General features: G+C 40.0%; 1 protein-coding gene and 1 pseudogene across 1 annotated transcript in view; one reads left to right on the forward strand and one right to left on the reverse strand.

The window, feature by feature from the left end:
• Positions 1–21,724, forward strand: part of ZSWIM6 (zinc finger SWIM-type containing 6) — a 213,915-nt gene that overhangs the window by 52,902 nt on the left and 139,289 nt on the right. The window lies entirely within an intron of this gene.
• Positions 5,457–6,738, reverse strand: RPL3P6 (ribosomal protein L3 pseudogene 6; annotated as a pseudogene).

Consider the following 21,724-nt stretch of genomic DNA (forward strand, 5'->3'; position numbering starts at 1 on the left):
AATGGCAGAACTCCATGGACATGGACAACACAAATACTGGTTAATGGTGTTTGGTATATTCTCTTCAAGAAGACAAATATTTTGAGAAATATTTTTATCAAAAGTGGTAAAAGGGAAACATTTTAGAGTTTAAAGGAGTTCTCCCAAGCCAGCATGTATTCCTGGGTTGTCCGGGAAATTCTCGGCTCACTCTTGAGTTTGACATCACCTTTATAGATGACCATAGTTGAAGCTTAACTATTTCAGGGCGGCATGATAAATGAGAAGAATAATGAAAGGCATCCGATTTGACAGAAAGAACACTTAATTTGTAGTTAGACCTGAGTTTAGATCCTGGTTTTAGCCATTACTACCATTGTGACCTGGGGCCAGTTTTTAACTCCTGTGGGCCTCAGTTGCATTAATTGAGATAATTTGTTTCTAGTATCTTGGCCCCTGCATTGGCATTCTATCAATGTTAATGCTCTTTTCTCTTTCATTGTTTCATACTAGAATGCACATCCTCTGTATAGCACATACTGTCTAACATAACCAGGCAGCGTAGTTTACTTGGCTTCTTCATTGAAAATCCATTCAGTTCTTTTGGGAGGCTTCCCTCAGCCCCTGTGCCCCAGGGTGTGCATAATCCTGCTAGCCATAGTGATGATGTCCACTGGCTCTCTTGTCTTTCGAATAGAGGCAAACACCCCAGACTGTTGGTGCCTGATTGGATTCGACTCATGGCCAGCTTTGGATGTGGGGTTTTCAGTGGGGTTCTTGCACAGGCTCAGGGGGAGAACCCTCCCAATAGCCACACTTCTTGAGGTGGTGGGCACAGGTAGGCATAGGAGGGAATGGAAACAGTGGCACTATTGCCCAGCAATTGGACTATGCTAAAGATGGGAAATATTTGAGGCCTAATCTGCATTTGGTTTTCATATATTTCATACTAATTAGGAACACATTTCAATGCTTTGAAGTTGTAAAAAGCTCTCCTGCATACATTCCAAATTGATGTTTCTCTGCCCTGGATATGCCATACATTTAGAGTACTACATCAGGGAAACACAGACCTCAGAAAGACCTTTGGTTTATCCCCAGTGCATCTGTGGACATTTCTCTTCCTGCTTCTGAGTTATTTGCCCGGAGTGATTTGCCTTTGCTTTGTACCTTGTTAGTTTTTTTCTCTCTCTGTTTAAGCAAGGATTAATGCTTCCTTTAATTGGGCTGTGGCTGTTTTACATGGATTGGTGATTGCAAAGCTTTTTGGAGCAGGTGTGGAGCAATGAATAGTCTTTTTAATTTCATTTTTTGATTTACATTTTTTTTATAACCACTTCTGCAACAAATGGTGAAACTCCATGGCTACCCTCTTTTTCAGTCAATGGTTAATGGTTTTTCCATACTCCCCAGCTGCTTATCATGGGCACAGCTGACAAAACCAGAAGAGCCTTTCTAGTAAGGTGAGCTGAGCTGGCATTTGTACAGGACAAAGGACTTTGGTAGAATTAGGGCTTTGACAAAGTGAACAAATGTAAAGGCAGCTGGAAACTTGAGTGTTGCTAATCAGGAATATATTTTGAGATTCTGAAGTTTCCAAAACATGTGTGTACTTAAGAAAAATAACCCAACAACGTGTGGGTTAATAGATTTTCCTGTTTTAAAAATCCCTTTGTGTGGGTTTTAAAGATGTTTTTCATACTTTTGAACAGTTTACTGTCTCAGAGAACATTACTAGCTCTCATTTTATTTTTGAGGCTCTTTATCCACGTGCTCCTGCCAAATGCCCTCTACCAACCACTCATTTATGGGCCGGTTCCTTTATCTTTAGTTGTTAAGACTCTTTTCAAGGGAGCCTTTGCCTTTTGTTGTATTATTTATGATATTGATAATGAGCATTCTATAGAGTTCAAAAGGACTTGTTCTGATTATTGAGAGTTTACTTCTCTGCTGGTAGTTGCTTATGTCAGAAAATAGCTTTCTATGGTAGATTGGCCATCTGCTTTTGGGAGAAATCTACACTTTCCCCCAGTCAGCAAATGGATAATATCAGTAATAAGATACAGTAAATTGGCTGCCCCAACCAAACAGCATATTTATATAAGTTGCCTGAAAACTAGGGTTGTGTCCATTCCATGTTCTCTTCCATATTTCATGCTGATGAAACTTACGATTATTTTAATTATCACCCCTGCACTAAATAAAATAATGGGATATTTCAAATGTAAGAAATTGAGAAAAAGGGCCATGTGTGATGGCCCATGCCTTTAATCTCAGCACTGTGGGAGGCTGAGGCAGGTGGATTGCTTGAGCTCAGGAGTTTGAGACCAGCCTGGGCAATGTGGTGAAACCCCATCTCTACAAAACATATAAAAAAGTTAGCCAGGTGTGGTGGCATGCACCTGTGGTCCCAGTTACTTGGGAGGCTGAGGTAGGAGGATTGCCAACTTGGCAAAACTCTGCCTCTACTAAAAATACAAAAATTAGGTTGGGCACAGTGGCTCATGCTTGTAATTCCAGCACTTTGGGAGGCCGAGGCGGGCAGATCACCTGAGGTCAGGAATTTGAGACCAGCCTGGGTAACATGGTAAAACCCTGTCTCTATTAAAAATACAAAAAAAAATTAGCTGGGCATGGTGGCGCATCCCTGTAATCCCAGCTACTCGGGAGGTTGAGGCAGGAGAATTGCTTGAACCCAGGAGGTGGAGGTTGCAGTGAGCCGAGATCATGCCACTGCACTCCAGCCTGGGTGACAGAGCGAGACTCCCTCTTTGAGGGGGGGAGAAAAGCACTTTCCTACTACCTAAGTTTTACAGAAGTGATATTTTACCCTTTCTCTCTCTCTCTCTTTTTTTTTTTTTTGAGATGGAGTCTTGCTCTGTTGCCCAGGCTGGAGTGCAGTGGCATGAACTCTGCTCACTGCAACCTCCGCCTCTCGGGCTGAAGTGATTCTCATGCCTCAGTCTCCTGAGTAGCTGGGATTCCAGACACCCACCATGATGCCCAGCTAATTTTTGTATTTTTAGTAAAGATGGGGTTTCATCATGTTGGCCAGACTGGTCTCAAACTCCTGGCCTCATGTGATCCACCCACCTCAGCCTCACAAAGTGCTGGGATCACAGGCATGAGCCACCGTGCCTGGCTAAGTGCTGCTTTTTAAATCAGTTGTGTGTTTGTAAAAGTCTATACTCTAGAACTGTAAGGCAAAGCACTTAACACATGAAACACTACAAGTGTATTTAAAATTGTTTGAATTAGTGGCCTGTCAAAGCTATCCTTTGAAAAACAAAACAAAAAACCTACAAAACCATCTCTACTTTCTCCTTTTCCTCTTGGAAGTTGGAACAGTTCACATTTCAAAACCTTGCTTGAGCTAAGTTCTTAAAAAACCTTGAAAAGACTTACATCAAGTGCTGCATACTGTTATAAAGGCTTTACATGTATTAATTTATTTAAAACTTCCAACAACCCTGTGAGAGATAAACCAAGGCACAGATATTAAGTAATTTGGCTTTGGCCACACAACTAATAAATGGCAGAGCTAGTATTTGAACACACAGTGGCTCAAAAATATCTATACTCTTAACTGCTTTGCTGTGTAGTGACTGAGAGCTTTGAGTTTTCTTGGATCAGAATTGTGGCTTTGGGCATTTTGCTGCAAGGAAACCTTAAAATGGAGATCCATTCTGTTTGCATCCATTGTTTGAAGTAGGAACAATTATGAAATTCGACAATTTGATAAAATTGTGGAATTTTGAACTTAGTTCATGAGTCATCAGAAGGACTTTGCCTTTAATGTGGTTTTCGAATATTCTAGATCAGTGTTTCTTTATTCTTTGTAACTTAAAGTTCTGTAAATGCATTTTGGTGTACCGGGACACATACCTGCAAACTCATTCAGGGAGAAGAAATGAGAGAAGAGATGAAAAATGCTGAAAGTTACCACGTGCCAGTGGAATTTTGGTTTGTTCTTTCACCTTTGAGGGCACTCTGTAGGGCTTCCTCTCATCTAGTTGGGGCTTATCTTTTTGGGAAGGTGCTCTCTCACCAGAGACTTGTTTTCATGGTACCACATTTGTATCCTGAAGTACAAATATACTGTACTTTTCTTGATGCTTTAAGAATCCTGCAGCTTGGCCGGGCGCGGTAGCTCATGCCTGTAATCCTAGCACTTTGGGAGGCTGAGGCAGGCGGATCACGAGGTCAGGAGTTCGAGACCATCCTGGCCAACATGGTGAAACCCTGTCTCTATTAAAAATACAAAAAATTAGCTGGGCATGGTGGTGGGTGCCTGTAATCCTGGCTACTCGGGAGGCTGAGGCAGGAGAATTGCTTTAACCTGGGAGGTGGAGGTTGCAGCCAGCCGAGATTGCACCACTGCACATGAGCCCAGGCGACAGTGCAAGACTCAGTCTCAAAAAAAAAAAAAAAAAAAAAAAGAATCCTGCAGCTTGACAGAAAAGCTGGGAAAGCGAGAAAGTCTTCAGTGATTCAAGGTCTAAATGCATTTGGAAATTATCACGTGGACCAAAAAATCTTGAATCTCAGAATACAATTTTGACAGATTTATTATGTGTTGTGTGTCTGTTTGCTCTGTCTTTGTGTTGGTCTTCCTGTGCAACTGTCAGTGTTGTCAGTAGAGGTTATAGCAGGCCACAGATATATCTTGATGAGGACATGCTGGGCAGAGAATAATTTCTTAGCCATGTGCTGTATATGCATGAGCCTTGATGTACAAAAGAGTGCATGTAGTTTTTGATCTGGGAATAAAAAAAGCAGGTTCTCTGACCAATCTAGGGAATTTCTGTAATGAGAACGTGTCATTAATGACATTTCCTGAGGGCATCTGCAGCATGAGACAGAATAGAATTTTTCTTTCTTTTTTCCATTTGCTGTAGAGTCCCTTTCTTCATCTTCATTCCATATCTTCTTTCCTTTTCTCTGTCAGCCTGCCTGCCTATCTGCCTGCCAGCCAGTCGTCTGCCTGTCTACGTATACATCACACCTTCGCAAAAGTATTCATGGGCAGCTACTGTGCTGTAATGATATTGTGACATTTCAGAGTAATCTACCATATTTGTTTTTTAAAGTTCATTTTTTTCTGTGCTATTTATTTTGACTAAGAAGGTTGCTGTAATTAACCCATACTTTTTAATCCTCTTGTGCCTTTTATAAGGAATAAAATTACTAGAATTCAGAAATAATGTGACTAGCATTGTACTCAAATCATAATTTTTTAAGATTAGATACCTTCAGATACCTTATTCCTCCAGTATTAAATTTGAATCTATGACAGAAATATTTTTAGTGTTTTCCAAAATATTTTTAAAGTGAAAATGTAAGTTCTCATTTGCTTGTACTGTCTTTTTTCCGCTCCTCCTTGAATTTGCCCCTTGCTCTGGAGAGCCTACAAAAGTTAAAACTTTTGTGAATGAGCATTGTCAGAATGCTATCTCAAAAATGGTATTTTTTTTTTCCAGTGGAAAATAACTTTTAAGACCCCACCAGCTGCAAAAACTGTTCCTGGCATTAAGCTCCTTCTTCCTTTGCAATTCGGTCTTTCTTGAGTGGTGCCATGAATGCTGTCTTCTCCTCCATGGTCTGGAAGCAGCCATGGCCAAACTTGGAGGTGGTGTCAATGAACTTAAGGTCAATCTTCTCCAGAGGCCGCCGTTTGGTTGGCACTGGCAAGGACTTGTGAAGGGTGAGCACTTGCTTCTTGGTGTCCACCACACAGTCTTTCAGCATGACAAAGTCATTGGTCACTTCACCATAGTGGACAAAGGCCCCCAGAGGGTGGCTTGTCAGACAGGTCATAGTCAGTGGAGGCATTGTTCTTGATCAGTTTGCTGTCCCTGACAAAGTATCCCTGGCTGATCTTATAGATCTTGTTGATCTCAGTGCTGTGACAGTAACCTTTCTGCCAAATGCATGCCACAGGTAAGGCCACAGGGGCAGGATGCTGTGTCCCAGTACAGGCCACTTTGCACAGGCCTCGATGGGTCTTGTGGGGTAGCTTCTTGGTGTGCCAACGACTGGTGACCCCTTTGTAGCCATTGCCCTTGGTCAACCTGATGACGTCGATCATCTTGTCCTGCTCAAACACTTGGTTCACAGGTACCTGCTGCTCAAGCCTCTCGTGGGCCCAGTCCAGCTTCTTGGCCATGGTGCCTCCCTTTACCTGGATCTCCATCAGGTGGGCCTTCCTCTGGTGCAGAGGAAGCAGGCACATCTGGGTGTAGGCAATGATGCAGATGACTTGGCGGTACTTCTTCATGCTGCTGAAGTCCTTCTCCAGCTGCTTCTTGCCATCCTCATCCTGACATTTCTTGCAGTACTTGGTAAAGGCCTTCTTCTTAGATTTATGCCGGTTTTTATAGAAATGTCTCTTGCATGCATCGCTGATGTGCTCAGCGAAGACAGTATTGAAGGTCTGGAGGCCTCGAGGGGTTTCCACGAAGCCCACAATGGCCACAACCACCATGGGTGGTATCTCCACAATGGTCACAGCCTCTATCACTTCCTTCTTGTTCACCTTGGATCCTGGCCTGTCGACTTCCCGCATGATGTTGGTCATGCCAGCCTTGTATCCCAGGAAGGCTGTGAGGTGGACCAGCTTGGAAGGGTCATCCTTAGGAAAGCTCTTCACCTTCCCATGATGCTTCCTGCTGCGCTGCTGAGGCAGGAAGCCGAGGGACCCATGTCTGGGAGCGGAGAACCTTCTGTGAGACATCATGCCATCAAATCCTGCCGGTAGAGCAAAAAATGGTATTTTCAAAACTTTTTGAGCCAGGGATCCTCTTTGCCATCCAGTGGGCTTGTACGGGTCTACCTTCATTTTGTGTATATTTTCCTTCAAGATTGTATTTCCCTCATAGATTGACATGCATTCGTGTTTTGACATTGAAAATTTGATGAAGTACTTTTTCCAGATAGAACTAAGAAAACTGTGACATTGATAGGGTGGCTGGAGTGTTATGTGAGATATCTTTATGTATAGATACTCTAACTTTCAATGTTGTGTTTTCTAGTAGTGTTGATGAATTTGCAGTGATGAGTCTATAGCTTTCTGCTGATTTCTCTAGTAGTATTGGAGAAAGACGGAAAGCAACACATGGTAGTTGCATCCAAACTGGCTACAGACATGCATCTATATACCTTTTTCTCCTGTATCTTTTATCCTGTAAAGTGGTGTTTGTGATGAATATGCCTGTTCTGGAATATGTCTTTAAAAATTTTTTTAAATGATTATATGAAAATCTATCTTTCTGTAGGGAATTCAGACAACACAGAAAATTGTGAGGAAGCAAAAATCACAGTTAACAGTTTGGTGAGACAGGAGTTGTCACTCTTAACAGTTTGATAATATGCACGCATGTGTGCTCACATGCACATACCAAAACATACACACGTGCCACTCTCATGATATAATGTGAGTAAAGTTATATAACTTCACATTCTGTTTACCGGCATTTATTTATTTATTTATATTGAGATGGAGTTCGGTGTTTTTACGCAGGCTGGAGTGCAATGGCGTGATCGCAGCTCACCGCAACCTCCGCCTCCCAGATTCAAGTGATTCTCCTGCCTCAGCCTCCTGAGTAGCCGGGATTACAGGCATCCGTCACCACCCCCTGCTAATTTTGTATTTTTAGTAGAGACAGGGTTTCTCCATGTTGGTCAGGCTGGTCTCGAACTCCCAACCTCAGGTGATCTGCCCACCTCGGCCTCCTAAAGCACTGGGATTACAGGTGTGAGCCACCGCGCCTGGCCCATCAGCCTTTATTTTTTAACTCAATACTTTGGCTGTTTTCTCCTGTTAATGAATATGATCTAAAATGGCCATGTTGTGTTCTCATATATATATATAAAATCTGTTTCTCAATACCTTTTTATATTTATTTATTTATTTATTTTTTGAGACAGAGTCTCGCTCTGTCACCCAGGCTGGAGTGCAGTGGTGCGATCTTGGCTCACTGCAACCTCCGCCTCCCAGGTTGAAGCGATTCTCCTGCCTCAGCCCTCCCGAGTAGCTGGGACTACAGGCGCACACCACCACTCCCGACTAATTTTTTTTTTTTGTATTTTTAGTAGAGACGGGGTTTCACCACACTGGTCAGGCTGGTCTTGAACTCCTGACCTCATGATCCACCCGCCTCAGCCTCCCAAAGTGCTGGGACCACAGGCGTGAGCCACTGCACCCGGCCTCTCAATACCTTTTTAATAGGTATTCAGTTTTTCACTATTATGAACAATTCTACAATAAACATTATTGGTGTATTCATCTTGCCCAGTTACATTCTGAGGGCAAATTTCTAGAAGTAGAATTGCTTATATAATTTTATTTTACATATAGTTATGCTTTATAGGAATATATTGAGAAATGTTTAATTTTTTTATAGTCAGCGCTCCCAGAAAGCTGATAATTTGTGCCTTTAAAAACCTACTTTTAGGCCGGGCGTGGTGGCGCATGTCTGTAATCCCAGCTGCTCAGGATGCTGAGGCAGGAGAATCACTTGAACTCGGGGGGCGGAGGTTGCAGTGAGCTGAGATGGCGCCATTGCACTCCAGCCTGGGTGACAGAGCGAAACTATCTCAAAAAAAAAAAAAAAATGTACTTTTAGACGGAATGTACTGTGCATCCAGTAGGGCAAAAATCATTCAGATTGCTAGACTTGAGGGTTCTTGGGTCTGGTTTTTTGTAAATTTTTTGTCTTCTTCTTTAGGTCTTTTCCAGATATGCGGCTTTTAATCTACAGGGGGCTTGGAAACAATATAACCAACCTTATTATATGATGTATAAAATAGAAGCAAGCAACCCCTGAGTCAAAGTATATGGAATGTTCTAGTGCTAGGGGTGGGATAGGAACATTGTTGGCTGGTTGAATTTTGCATAGGTAAGGACTTTGTTTTAGTTTGGGGAATATTTATATTGATGCTCTGTTTGATTAAATTATTTCTATTACAGAGCAGCCATTTATTGATGAATATAGGAGACAAAGCCATATAAATGGAGATAAAAGGCAAGCTCTTATGATTAAAAGAAAATTCCCATCCTTTAGGTTGCACCAGTACTCCCAGGAAGTGCTAGTGCAGTGTCTGCCTCCTCACTCCTTCCTTGTCTGGCACATCCCGCTTGGAGTGCTCCTTTTTGGGAGAGTGTGCCCTTGTCTCTGGGCATGTGCCCTGGGCTGTCAGGCAGTGTCTTCTCCAGGGCTGGGAGTGAAGACTCAGCCAAGTCCTGACTGCTTGCACCCTGGCACCCCCAGCATGGGAAGAATTGCCTGGCCTGCTAAGCAATATTAATTCTTCCTCCAGTATTGACTGTTTGATTTATACCAGCACTGGGTGAGTCCTGGGAATTCAGAGCTGACTCAGACCTTTTCCCCATCTTCTTGGGGCTCACTGGGTGGAAAGTAAGATGACTCACATTAAGTACCCTCTGAATGGTGTATATGATATATATGAGGGGGGAATTATCAGTTCTTCCTGAGGATCTGTGAAGTTGTCCAAAAGAGAAAGGGACACTTGGATTCAGTAATGGCAAATGAAAGGAATTAACAAGGCAAATACTGTTAGGAGGGCTTACAGGTGGTTGGCCAGAGGAGGGGGTATGGAAAGGCATTCTAGGCAGCAAGTAAAGCTTGTGCAAAAATGGAGTGTGAAACAGTTACCCCCTTTTTCCAATTCAGATTCTGCACAGCTGCTACAGGGGGTACTAAGTGTTAGAAGAGGGTAGTGCAGGACCCTCTGCACTATGGCAGGTCAGACCATAGTGGACGTTGTGTGCCGTGTTGAGGAGTTGAACTTGATCCTCTGGGGACAGAAGACTACCATCATGAGGCTTTAATTAGCTCTGTGCTTTGATTTATGGGCACAGTCATGATGAACAAATGAAAGCCCATTGTGCTCATTTTGGGGAGTTATAAAATCACTTTTATAAGTTAGGGGATGTGTTAAGCATTAGTACCAAAGGGGGTACATTTATAATGCAACTCATCCTCCTTTCAGTGCTCTCATGGCCTGGAAGGTGAGCAGAAAGAATCTTTTAATAAAGGGGGCACAATTTCAGTCAGATTGTGTAACTTCTCAGTGCTAAGACAACTTATCTAGGTGGTCCAACTTGGTGAAGGTATAAAAGTGTGTTGGTGGGGGGGCACTGGGTGTGTCCTTGCCCAGTCTTACCTGACAGACCAAGAGAGGACAGACAGCAGGCTATGTAAAGAGTAAGAGCAGTCTTTGTGCAGTGCAAAAAAAAGGCCATTTGCTGTGCATTGATTTTTTTCCCCCCATTCATACCTGTACACAGATATGGATCTATCAGGGTGTCATGTTCGAATACTGAGTTAAGCAATATCAGAGTTAAGATAAAAATCAACGGTTTAATTGATTAAATGAGCACAGGGCTATACACATGATGATAGCTCAGTAACTGATTTTTTAAAAACATGAGTTTAAAACAAAATGGATATCAAAAATTAAAAAACACTTGGTTAAAAATTTCTATGCTGCTTTTTGATATATCAGGAAAGATTAATATTTATAATTTCTAATTTATAAATTAAGACATTCTATTCACTTGACCTTTTAAGCAAAGTTTTTATAAGTAAGCCACAGTAGGCCATGAACTACATTAGTTATCTGATAGTAGAGTGTTCTCAGAGAATTTATTTTTCTACAAAATTATTTAGATGTAGTAAAGAAAATTGCTTTACTCAGTGCAGGTGGGGGTGTAGTGGGCTGTTGACTTTGAATACTTTATTAAGCTCTACTTTTTTTTTTATGGGAGGTATTGATTTAAGGCATTCTAAATCATTTATTAGATCAGTATATTGCTTGGAAACTAAAAGATCTGGAGAGTTTGTGCTTCTGTACAAGTCTACAGATAAACCGAGATTGGAAAGTACAGTCTGGTGTTTGGAGGCAGACGTGATCTTGGGCAGGGCGAACCAGAAGGCTGGGTTTAGCTTCTACTTACACCAGCACTGCTAGCTGTGGGCTTTGGATCTATTACTTTTCTTTATCACCTTCATCTTCCTCATTTGTAAAATTATCCCAGCAACACGTAACCTTCCTGACCATGCATATTTATTTTGAGAATTGAATGTTTTTTGGCCAGGTGCAGTGGCTCACGCCTGTAATCCCAGCACTTTGGGAGGCTGAGGCAGGCGGATCACAAGGTCAAGAGATCGAGACTATCCTGGCCAACATGGTGAAACCCTGTCTCTACTAAAAATACAAAAATTAGCTGGGTATGGTGGCGCACACCTGTAGTCCCAGCTACTCAGGAGGCTGAGGCAGGAGAATCACTTGAACCGGGAGGCAGAGGTTGCAGTGAGCCGACATCGCGCCACTGCACTCCAGCCTGGTGACAGAGTGAGACTCTGTCTCAAAAAAAAAAAAAAAAAAAGAGAATTGAATGTTTTCATTCAAATGTGAATACAACATTGTATTTAACTTGGAAATTCTGAACAAATGTAAGATGGCAGTGTTGGTGGCAGATTCTTTTTTCAATGGCATAGTGTCATATTTTAGTTTCATTCATATTGGCCTGGTTTAAATAGTTTACCAAGGTTGGTGGGTTATCTACACTTTAAAATTAATTAAACATTTTAAAATTAAGTTTTTGGTTAAAATTTTTACCTGTTGCTAAATAAAAAATATACAGAAAACACAGATTTTTTTGGGAGAAAGGGGAGTTAAATGAATTATCCGTCTAATGTCTTCCAAATATTCCTTATTAAATTGTTGAAGTGGACATAGTTATTCTCTTAGGAGTATTATAAACATAATAACAATAAATTTGTTTGCCCTTACAGAGTTTAAAATGACTGTTACCAATTTACAGGTTAGGTAGGGAACTGCTTCTCAGAGAGGGTAATGACTTACCCATGATTGTCCCAATATTCAGCAGTAAGATGTGGTACTAGAACTAAGTTCTGTTGCCATATTGTCAATATTTGCCTGAATTTGTTTGTTGTATGAAATAACCAGGTTTTTCAGTTTTGGACATTGGTTTAGACTCAATCTAAAAACCATTAAATTAGTTCAGGCTGTACCTTCCTGTCCGCCAAAAACATTATCCCAGTTGTGTGTAATACTGTATATATATCTAAAACATCTTATACAAATGTTTTTATGTAATCAAAATGAGTTTTCTTAAATTTAAATACATTGGATTTACCACTGATAAATTAGATTTTAATCAGATTCACCTTGAGTGTTATATTAGGGAGTCAGTGAAGTGCCCCCAGGGGGTGGCAATCATGACTATAAATCCTCATTTCAGGAGAAAAATGGCAGTTTGTTTTTGTTGGTCTGCACGTGCTGTGAATCATCAGCCCTGCAGTAGGGTCCTCCAGGGACTGTGGCATGCACAGCCCATCAGTGACAGCCAAGTAGTTGTGAGTGACTTTTTTTTTTTAAGAGGCAGTTTACTTTGTTTTAAAAACATGAACCTTTAAAAGAATTCCAAAAGTAGCACACACATTGAAAATTATAATCAAACATACTAAAGGAAAATGTTAAATGACTCCTAAAATTTTAGCATAGAAGTAATCTTCACCTAAATTTTGAATTAAATCTTTTGTTGTGAGTGACTTCTGAAGGGGATGGAGTCCTTATTGCCTTTTTAGCTCACTAACTCCAAGTGTAGAGAATGGGCTTTATGGTCCAAATCTACTTAATCCACGTTGAGAGGGAACAGAAAAGGAGTTTGGTCGCAGTGCCTAGCACAGAAAGAAATGAAATTTACCTATTAATGTAACTATTAAGAGACTTCCCACTTTACCTTCAAAACAAAAGGAATATCATTTTCATGTCTATACTTAGTCTTCCCTGCTGTCCTGTAAGCCTCTGGTTGCAAAATAGAATCTCAATAGTATTTCAGAGAATGGGACTTCTTGCCATCTGATACCTGTGAAACTCTTAAGTGATCTTGGGCCCTGCTCTCTTGCTGTGGTTCCAGTTGAAGTGTGGAGTCTCACAGCAGGGGTCCCCAACCCCTGGGGCCATGGAACCCTACAGGTCCCTGGCGTTCTAGGAACTGGGCCACACAGCAGGAGGTGAGTGGCAGGCAATTGAGCATTACTGCCTGAGCTCCGCCTCCTGTCAGATCAGCAGAGATTCTGATTCTTATAGGAGGGTGAACCTTATTGTGAACTGTGTATGCAAGGGATCTAGGTTGCACACTCCTTATGAGAATCTAATTCCTGATGATCTGAGGTGGAACAGTTTCATCCTGAAACTATCCCCCTACCCCTAGTTCATGGAAAAATTGTCTTTCATGAATCGGTCCCTGGTGCCGAAAAGGTTGGGGACTGCCGCCTTTATAGCATCAGCTCTCCTTGAGCAACTAGCCAGGCAATGTTGTATAGTGTTTAAGATTTGGGAGCCTTAAGTTCTGCATTTGAATCCTGGTTCCAGCACTTAGTAACTCTTGACCCTGGGCAAGTAACTTAATCTCTTGGAACCTCGTTTTTCCTTATCTGTAAAATTCAATAAAATATTTATCAACGTGCTTAAAAAATGCATAGCACAGTATTGTGGTACCTGATTAGCCCCAGCAGAGGTTCATTACAATTTTGATTTTAGGATTAAAGTAAACATTGTATAATTTCAGTTCTGAGAATAAATTTCTCTGAGTTATGAAGCAAACTGAATTTGTGTACTGGTGTCATTAGGATGCTTTTTAGTGAGAGAAGGAAGGATGACCTTGAGCTTATGGCGGAATGGTAGGGCAGGGGGCTGAAGGAGAGCAAGTTGTGTATAGTTGTTTTTTTTTTTTTTTTTTTTTTTTTTTTGAGACAGAATCTCGCTCTGTCACCCAGGCTGGAGTGCAGTGGTGCGATCTCTGCTCACTGCAACCTCCGCCTCCTGGTTTCAAGTGATTTTCCTGCCTCAGCCTCCCAAGTAGCTTGGACTACAGACGCATGCCACCATGCCAGGCTAATTCTTGTATTTTTTTAGTAGAGACGGGGTTTCTCCATGTTGGGCAGGCTGGTCTCAAACTCCTGACCTCAGGTGATCCACCCGCCTCAGCCTCCCAAAGGGCTGGGATTACAGGTGTGAGCCACTGCGCCTGGCTGTGTATGTTTTTTTTTTTTTTTTTTTTAAAGATAATCAGTGTCTATTATTTGAAAAATGTGTTTTATTTGAAAACACTGAGTTTGTCTAATTATGGATTAAATCCTAATATGTGACTTCGTTGAGAAAATTACTAACATTGGCATTCCAGTTTGTCTCACATACTGAAATCTCCTCTTTATTTACCAGAACAGATTCCATCTCTGTCTTTTGACTGAAGTGAAAACATAAGACCTTCTTTTGCCTTTTCCACAATCTGTCAACACCTACTGAGTTGGACAGAAGGTTTAAGCACAGTGAGGCTTCATCTTCGTGTTCCTGAGGGACCAGAATCCTCTGGTTACAAAGCCCTCAGAGCTAAATTCTTAGTGGGGACACATGTACAGTATCAGTGTACATTCAGGGTTGGTGTTTCTTTGGCTATCTGAGTAACTTTGAACATTACAAAAAGAAATGAAAAACAATCAAAATCTCTTGTCCTAAACACTGTAATTGGTTTCTCCAATTTCTACTTCCCACGTCTGAATGAACTTGTAAGAAGAAAATACTTCCTCTGTAGGTGGCCTGGTCAGGTTGGCCTGATACCTGGAGTGAAAAGATTGGAACAGAGTAAAGAGCACAAATCTGGGACCCTGGAAAACTGCCCTCTGGTCCTGGTTTTGCTGTTTAATGATTGTTATAACTAAACAAGGCAGTTTGCAGATCTGGCTTTAGTTTTCCTACCTGTACACTCGGGGGTATAGATGATCTCCAGAATTACGGAATCACAGGGTTGGAAGTAGCTTTGTGCAACCTTCCTGAGGGGCATGGACGTGATCTTTGAAGCAGTCTTGACAGGTCGCCATTACATCTCCATTTGTCTGTGTTCAGCCTTTGCTTGGCGTCCACTCTAGAGGTGGGGAACCGTTGGTTTTCAAGGTAGTTTTGAGCAACTTAATATTAGGTAGCTTTTCATAGTGTATGCATTCCTTGCCCTCCTGTAGTCCTAATTCTATGTTTTTCATTTTTTATGTGACAAATCTTTAGATATTGAACAAGAATTATGTCAGTTCTCTTTCCAGTTATGCTGCAAAAGCTCTGTCTGCCCTCCCTCCCTCTTTGATGTGATTTCAGACCCTTCACAATTATGCTAGCTTTCCTGAAATGTTCCAGTTTTTCATTGCCACTTTAAAAATGTGATTCTCAGAAAAGCATATAATACTTCAGATAGGAAGTGAGCAGCACAAGGCATGCTAAGAAGGTTTAAAAACTGTAATTTGATGAGTACAGCCCAAGTTGATTTTTTGTTATTGGTTTCTTTTATAGACAGCATCTGTCTGTGACATACTTGATGTTTTATTTCACATGGATTGATTGCTCATCAGCAAGGCCTCACGTTATAGATGGGCAGCTTATTTTTTTGACCCTTGGCAGTGCTTTATATTTTTTCTTTTGTGGATTATTTTATATCTGCTCCTTGTTCTGCCTGCTGAATCCTTCTGAACCTTTCATCTGCTCTGGGAATTAGTGATCCTGTCAGGCTGTTGTCTCCTTATTATCCTTACTGATCATACCTTTGAGTCCATCCCAAGTGGTTGATAAAAATGTTGACCAGGGCAACATGAAGTAGAGGCTCTTGTGGTAAACTGCTGGGGTCTTTCTGCTGTCTTTACATTTGACTGGTGGGGAACCCTGACAGTGTTTCCAGGCTCCTATTGACAATGTGTTTTTATTCTTGGTTAGATGTAATTTAGATGTAATTTGTCTTGCTCTGAAGTCTTGAACTCAGTTTGTTTTCTCATTAATTTATCGTCTTCTGTTTTGAAAATTCTGTATTTGTTTTTATGTTTATAGACGTTTGGATTAGTGGTGTTAGCTATTTTCCCCCCGACAATTATTATGTTCTCGTTAGCTTTTGTGTTAGTGGTCTTTACTAATACTGCCACCAAGCCCTCACCCATCTTTTCTTTGCTTTTTTTTTGCATTCCTGACCTGGAGTGCCTAGTACTGAGTGATAAATGGGGGTTGGGATGGTGGTGCTGGTGGAGCAACAGACGGAAGAAATTTCTTACATTAAGAAGGCTTCCAGTCTTTTTTCCAGAGGTACTGCTACAAATACATGCCAAGATTTTTCAAAAGACTGTAACTTTAAACAGTTTAAGAATATTCTGTTGGAGGTAAAGTTTAAAAAGCAATTCATAAAGAGAAACATACTGAAGTCTTACTCCAGATATCCTGATGGATGCTGTATGTTGAAAAATTACATTTTAGAAAATAAAGGGTATATAGATACCCTTTATTATGAGGTTTCATAAAATATCTCATATATTATGAGGTATATGAGATAGGTTAAAAAATCTGAATGACATTTACCTGAAAAATAGCTAGTAAAAAACATACTGTATAAGAATGTAATGGGATAATGGTGCATCAGAAATACTACATAAATTATCTGTCTAAAGAGAGGTATCCAGATTTGACATGGAGGTAGTTTATAGGGTAGGCCACATCTGCATTATTGTATTTTGTAACTTGTTCTTTGTAATATAATTTACTTAGTTGCATCAACCTATATGACCTTTTCTTAATTTGATATACTACAAAAGAAGCTTTAGCATAAATGTTTTCAAAATAATATCACTGCCCAAATGTCCCATTAAGCCAAGCATTTTATGAATCAGCAAGACCAGTCTCCTCTCCCTGCTGTCATTTCTTTTGTCCTTCCCCTTTTCTCCCTCCTGCCAAGTACTTGCATATCTGTGTGCTTATGTTAGCAGCATCCACACTGATACCTGTTCTCTTTTTTTTTCACCCTAGCTCCAGGGGTAAAAGGAGAGACTGAAAAAAAAATATTCTGGAAGTCTTAGATATGGGATAAAATTCAAGGAAATGATTTCTTATCATCTTGTCACCTTTAAAATGTCGTTAATGGAACATGTACATCCTGAGTTTGTAGATATTTCTGTGTTTGGGATGCCTTTTAGTGTAAAGTATCAAGCAGCAAATAGAGCACACATTCTGTAGAATTAAAGAACCTTAGAAAAGATGACTATGAAAATTTTAAGTACATTTAGGGGAAGGAATGATTCAATGGAGAGAATGAATTTGAAGATATATCCATAAATGCTTGAAGTTCTAATGTGGTTTTTAGTTACAGCAGATCTTTTAAAACTACAATGGAATTTTGCCATTATGTCACTCATTATAGTTGGAATTCTACTTTAACTAGATTTGTTTTCTGATTTATATGAAACCTTAATTGCTTGAAGTATAGACTTAAGTTAAAATTTTGTAGCATGGATTCCAGAGATTCTAGTTTGTTTTTTTTTTCCCCCCAGGAAGAAAAACAGGAAGTACTATGTCCAGAAACTAACCAAATGAAGGTGTTTTTAATGACTAACTTTCTTCAGAGAATAAGATACTGTATGGTTTCTAGATTACAGTGCTTTAGGGCTAAATGTGGAAACTGGAACTCCAATATAAGGTTTTGCACCTTAAAGGTTAAGTATCCATTTGTATCCAATAACAACTTAGGAAATTTAAAGTTGTTATTCCCACAATAATTATTACTTTGTCCCTATGGGAATATTTAGAATTTGTATTTTTGGGCATAATATCTTATTTATATTTCACTGTATTTATAGTTGAACCTTATATCTAAATGAATGAGAGAAATTAACTCATTTTTGTATGTAATTTAATTGTGTAGCATTCACTAATTGCTAATGATTTGCACACATGAACAAATCAAACAAAAATCTCTGCTCTTATGTTGTACACTTAGGTAATAAGGTGGTAAATGCATGTATCTAACTCTGGATCTCATGGTAAAATTAAGAGAGTAATTGTGCATTACACCAGGAATAATGTGCTGTTTACAAGTGGATGTCACTTGCCAAGTTTACACATCTGATTTAGAAGAAACAAAGATTTCAGACTTAATTGAGGACACATGTCTTTGATAGCTTTCTTGAGGTAACTCTAGTCCTTTAAGACTATCTTGAAACCATCAGCAGGATTTATTTTAAAAATCCTCCAGTTGAGGCAGCCATTTAAAATTGAGTAATTATTCCCTGGGGCCCAGTTCTTTATTACCAAAATTATAGCATTTTTAGGGTTTAGAACTCTCTTGGGCTCTTAAAGCCATGTTGTTTAGAAAAATTAAAATGTAAAAAATGGCCTAAGATTTCTAAACCATGTGACCTGTGGTCAGTCCTGTTCCTCTTGCTATAGAGCAGGGGACCATTGTAAACAGGAAAATTCTAATCCATATGCAGCTAGCAACTTCAGCCTTTCACAGACTAACAACTAAGACCACTATGAGCCCTATAGCTCCTTTATTTCTCGCATGGGTGCCTCATCACATGGAGGCCAGGGAAGAAGGAGCCTGGGAAAAGGAACACTTTGTCTTCAGATTTAGAAAGCACACTTGGAAAAGAAAAGAGAATCTTTTGAATAAAATCAGAAGGGAATACACGCCTGTAAACAAGATTCTGGAATCGTACAAAATAATGTATGCTTAGACTCTGCGTGTGAGTGGAAACCTTTTTTGGCCAGTGTAGATTTTTGTCATAAGAGGAAGCAGTTTTTAATGTGCAGTTCTTAGTTTTCAATCTTGGGAGCTTCTTGATAATTAAGTGATGTTTTTGACAGTGAGGAAATTAAATTATGTGGGAATTCACTCCCTGAAGTATATTTTTGAGTAGCTTTCCTTGGATAGTTTAACTGTAGTCTTGTCTTCCCAGGATGAATTAGGTGACTTATTGAGGTCTCTTCAGTAGCCATCTTGGGAGGTTTAAAAAAGTAATTTTTTTTTTTTTTTTGAGACGGAGTCTCGCTCTGCCGCCCAGGCTGGAGTGCAGTGGCGCGATCTTGGCTCACTGCAAGCTCCGCCTCCCGGGTTCACTCCATTCTCTTGCCTCAGCCTCCCGAGCAGCTGGGACTACAGGCGCCTGCCACCACGCCCGGCTAATTTTTGTATTTTTAGTAGAGATGGGGTTTCACCGTATTAGCCAGGATGTTAAAAAAGTATTTTTTGTACCACCGGAAAACTTTCCTTCACATTTTCTCACTTATCAGTTGCATTCTTAAAATGATTGCATTTTTTCCCCTTGTTCCCAATGGTTAAATTTTTATTTACTTTCCGATCTTTAGGGGAAAGAATGGCATAAATTAAGGCAGATGAAAAATTTCAAAGGGCTGCCATCGCCCTCTTGAAGTTCACATTGTCTCCAGCTCCTCTAAGCCATGGCTACCACCTCTCAAGGCAAACTCCCATCCCTGTTTTGCTGTCTTTGGCTAGGATTTGTTGGTAGGCAGCAGACCTTATGGTAGAGGAGGGAAGATGAACTTTAAAGAGAAAAGTTCTATAGCCACTGTTGCTAAAGCTTTTGCTCTTTCTATTCTTTTCTGCCAGTAGCTGCCTCTTTGTTTGCTGGGAGAGAAGTAGAAGAGAGAAGCTAAGTCCAAGAGAGGAGAGGGATTTCACCGCCTCCTTTAGCCTTCTTGCTCCTTTCATGGCTCTGCCCCATATTCTCATTTTCCAAACATTCCAATCACCTAGAGAGGGTTGTTTTTTTGTCTTCGGGTTTTTGGTTGTTTTTATAAAATAGAGTTCTTGGGGCCCACTTTTAGTTATTATACTTAAGGAAGTCTGGGGCTTCAGTCCTGAGAATCTGTGTATTTCTTGAGTTATGCAGGTAATTTTGATGCCCAGTTAGATTTGAGAACTGTAGGATATGTTTCCCACCCTAACCTTTGGAGGTCAGGGTCCTAAGTTATAGGAGTCAATACCAGTAGCAGAAATGGTTGGGCTTACAATATGACAAATAAGGCCATAAATACGAAGGGTTTCCGAACCAACAGCCAGAGCTTCTAGGAGTGAGAGACCAGTTGAACTTAACTGTAATTATCCTGTTGTAGAGGTTAGTTGCTATAATAGCTATATTTAAGGTGTATTAGCTTTTGTCTTCTTTTATATTCCTTTTCATTTGTTGATAGAAAGCTATGTTTGAAGATATGGTGGGTATACTGTAAACTCCAACCACCAAAGATGGGATTAATCAAAATGTATACTTTGTTCACATAAGTGGAATGTCTTAAGTAGATTTTTTAAATAAATAGGATCTACATTTTTCTTCTTTGTAGTGGCCTGTCTAATGGAGTATAGTTTCTTTCATCTTTTTATTAGTGAGAATTTAAATATATTTTGATGACATTTCTCTTTCAATTTCTTCACCACAACCACCATCATCGTCATGGAGAGGCTAATAGACTTTATGAGGGGCTAACTCCTCAGAGGAGGAAGAAATTACAGAGGTGGCATTTGAGCTGAGCCTTTAAAAATAAGAGAAGATTTGCATTAGAGATTGGTATTTTCTGTTCTTGGGAGGGTATTCCAGATACAGGAAAACTTGAGCAAAGACAACAGGCATGTTTGAAAAACAGTAGGCTTTGCTTCCATGAGGCCAAAGTGTAGGCTCTGTAAAACACAAGAGTAGAAGAGTAGATTAGAGACAGAGTGTCAAGAGCTCTAAAGTCATTTCTGTTTGGACTTTATTCTCAGTGTCATAGTTTCTATATGGAAAGGGGCTCAGAGTTTAAAAGAGTAACTCCATAAAAATAATTGTAGCACCACATCTTTATTTGGAAGATTAAAGTCTTTTATTTGAATTATATTTCAGAATCTTAAAATATGTATATGTATCACACAAAGAAAATACCTTTAAAGACTTTTTCTTTATGTATAGTCTGTGGTCCTGTGAGGTCTGGAGCTTGGGACTACTGTGAAATAAATGATAACCTTGTCATTCAGTAGACAGCCTGAGCTGCATTAGGGTCTTCTGCATCTCAGGGTTGGAGGCTTCTCCCTGCTTTGGCAGAATTTCTCTTCCCTCCAGTCTTGGCCTTCTCCATTAACACACAGGTACTTTGAACTTTATGTCTGCAGGTCTGTGTCATTTTGCTATCTCTTTGGGGAACCACCTGCCTAACCTTATGAGGTCCTGTTCAAAACTGTGGTTCTGCTCTTTTCAGCAACTGATCATTATTGCATATCACTGTCTTTTAACATCTACTAAAGCTGAAAACATTTGTATACTTAATATATTAATAGTATATTACTTGTTTATCAGTATGATGGTTTACATAAATGTGAAGCCTAGAAATTTTATAGGGACCTGGTGTAGTAATCCCTAACAGATATTGAAAGAAAGGTAAAAATTAGTTGAAAGGACTAGATCATCCTCATTCCTCACTCATTTTTCCTTAAAGAATATATTAAAAGGCAAAGTTGTCTACAGTCAGTATCAAAATTTTGTTTTAACAATGTTTTCAACATTTTACATCTTTCTGGTAATTTTATGAAGTCTCTGAAGACTAAAATCTGTCATAATTAGTCAGAAGTAATATTTCCGAGTAGGTATTTACTTTCAAAAAGCCTAAGTCTTTAAAGGTGGCATATGATACTATAATTTATCTCAGAAATCTTTTATTTATTTATTTATTTATTTATTTATTTATTTATTTTGAGACAGAGTCTTGCTCTGTCACCCAGGCTGGAGTGCAGTGACATGATCTCGGCTCTCTGCAGCCTCTGCCTCCCGGGTTCAAGCGATTCTCCTGCCTCAGCCTCCTGAGTAGCTGGGATTACAGGTGCCTGCCACCATGCCTGCCTAATTTT

The sequence above is a fragment of the Homo sapiens genome, chromosome 5 (genome assembly GCF_000001405.40).
Source record: "Homo sapiens chromosome 5, GRCh38.p14 Primary Assembly".
NCBI classification, from domain to species: domain Eukaryota; kingdom Metazoa; phylum Chordata; class Mammalia; order Primates; family Hominidae; genus Homo; species Homo sapiens.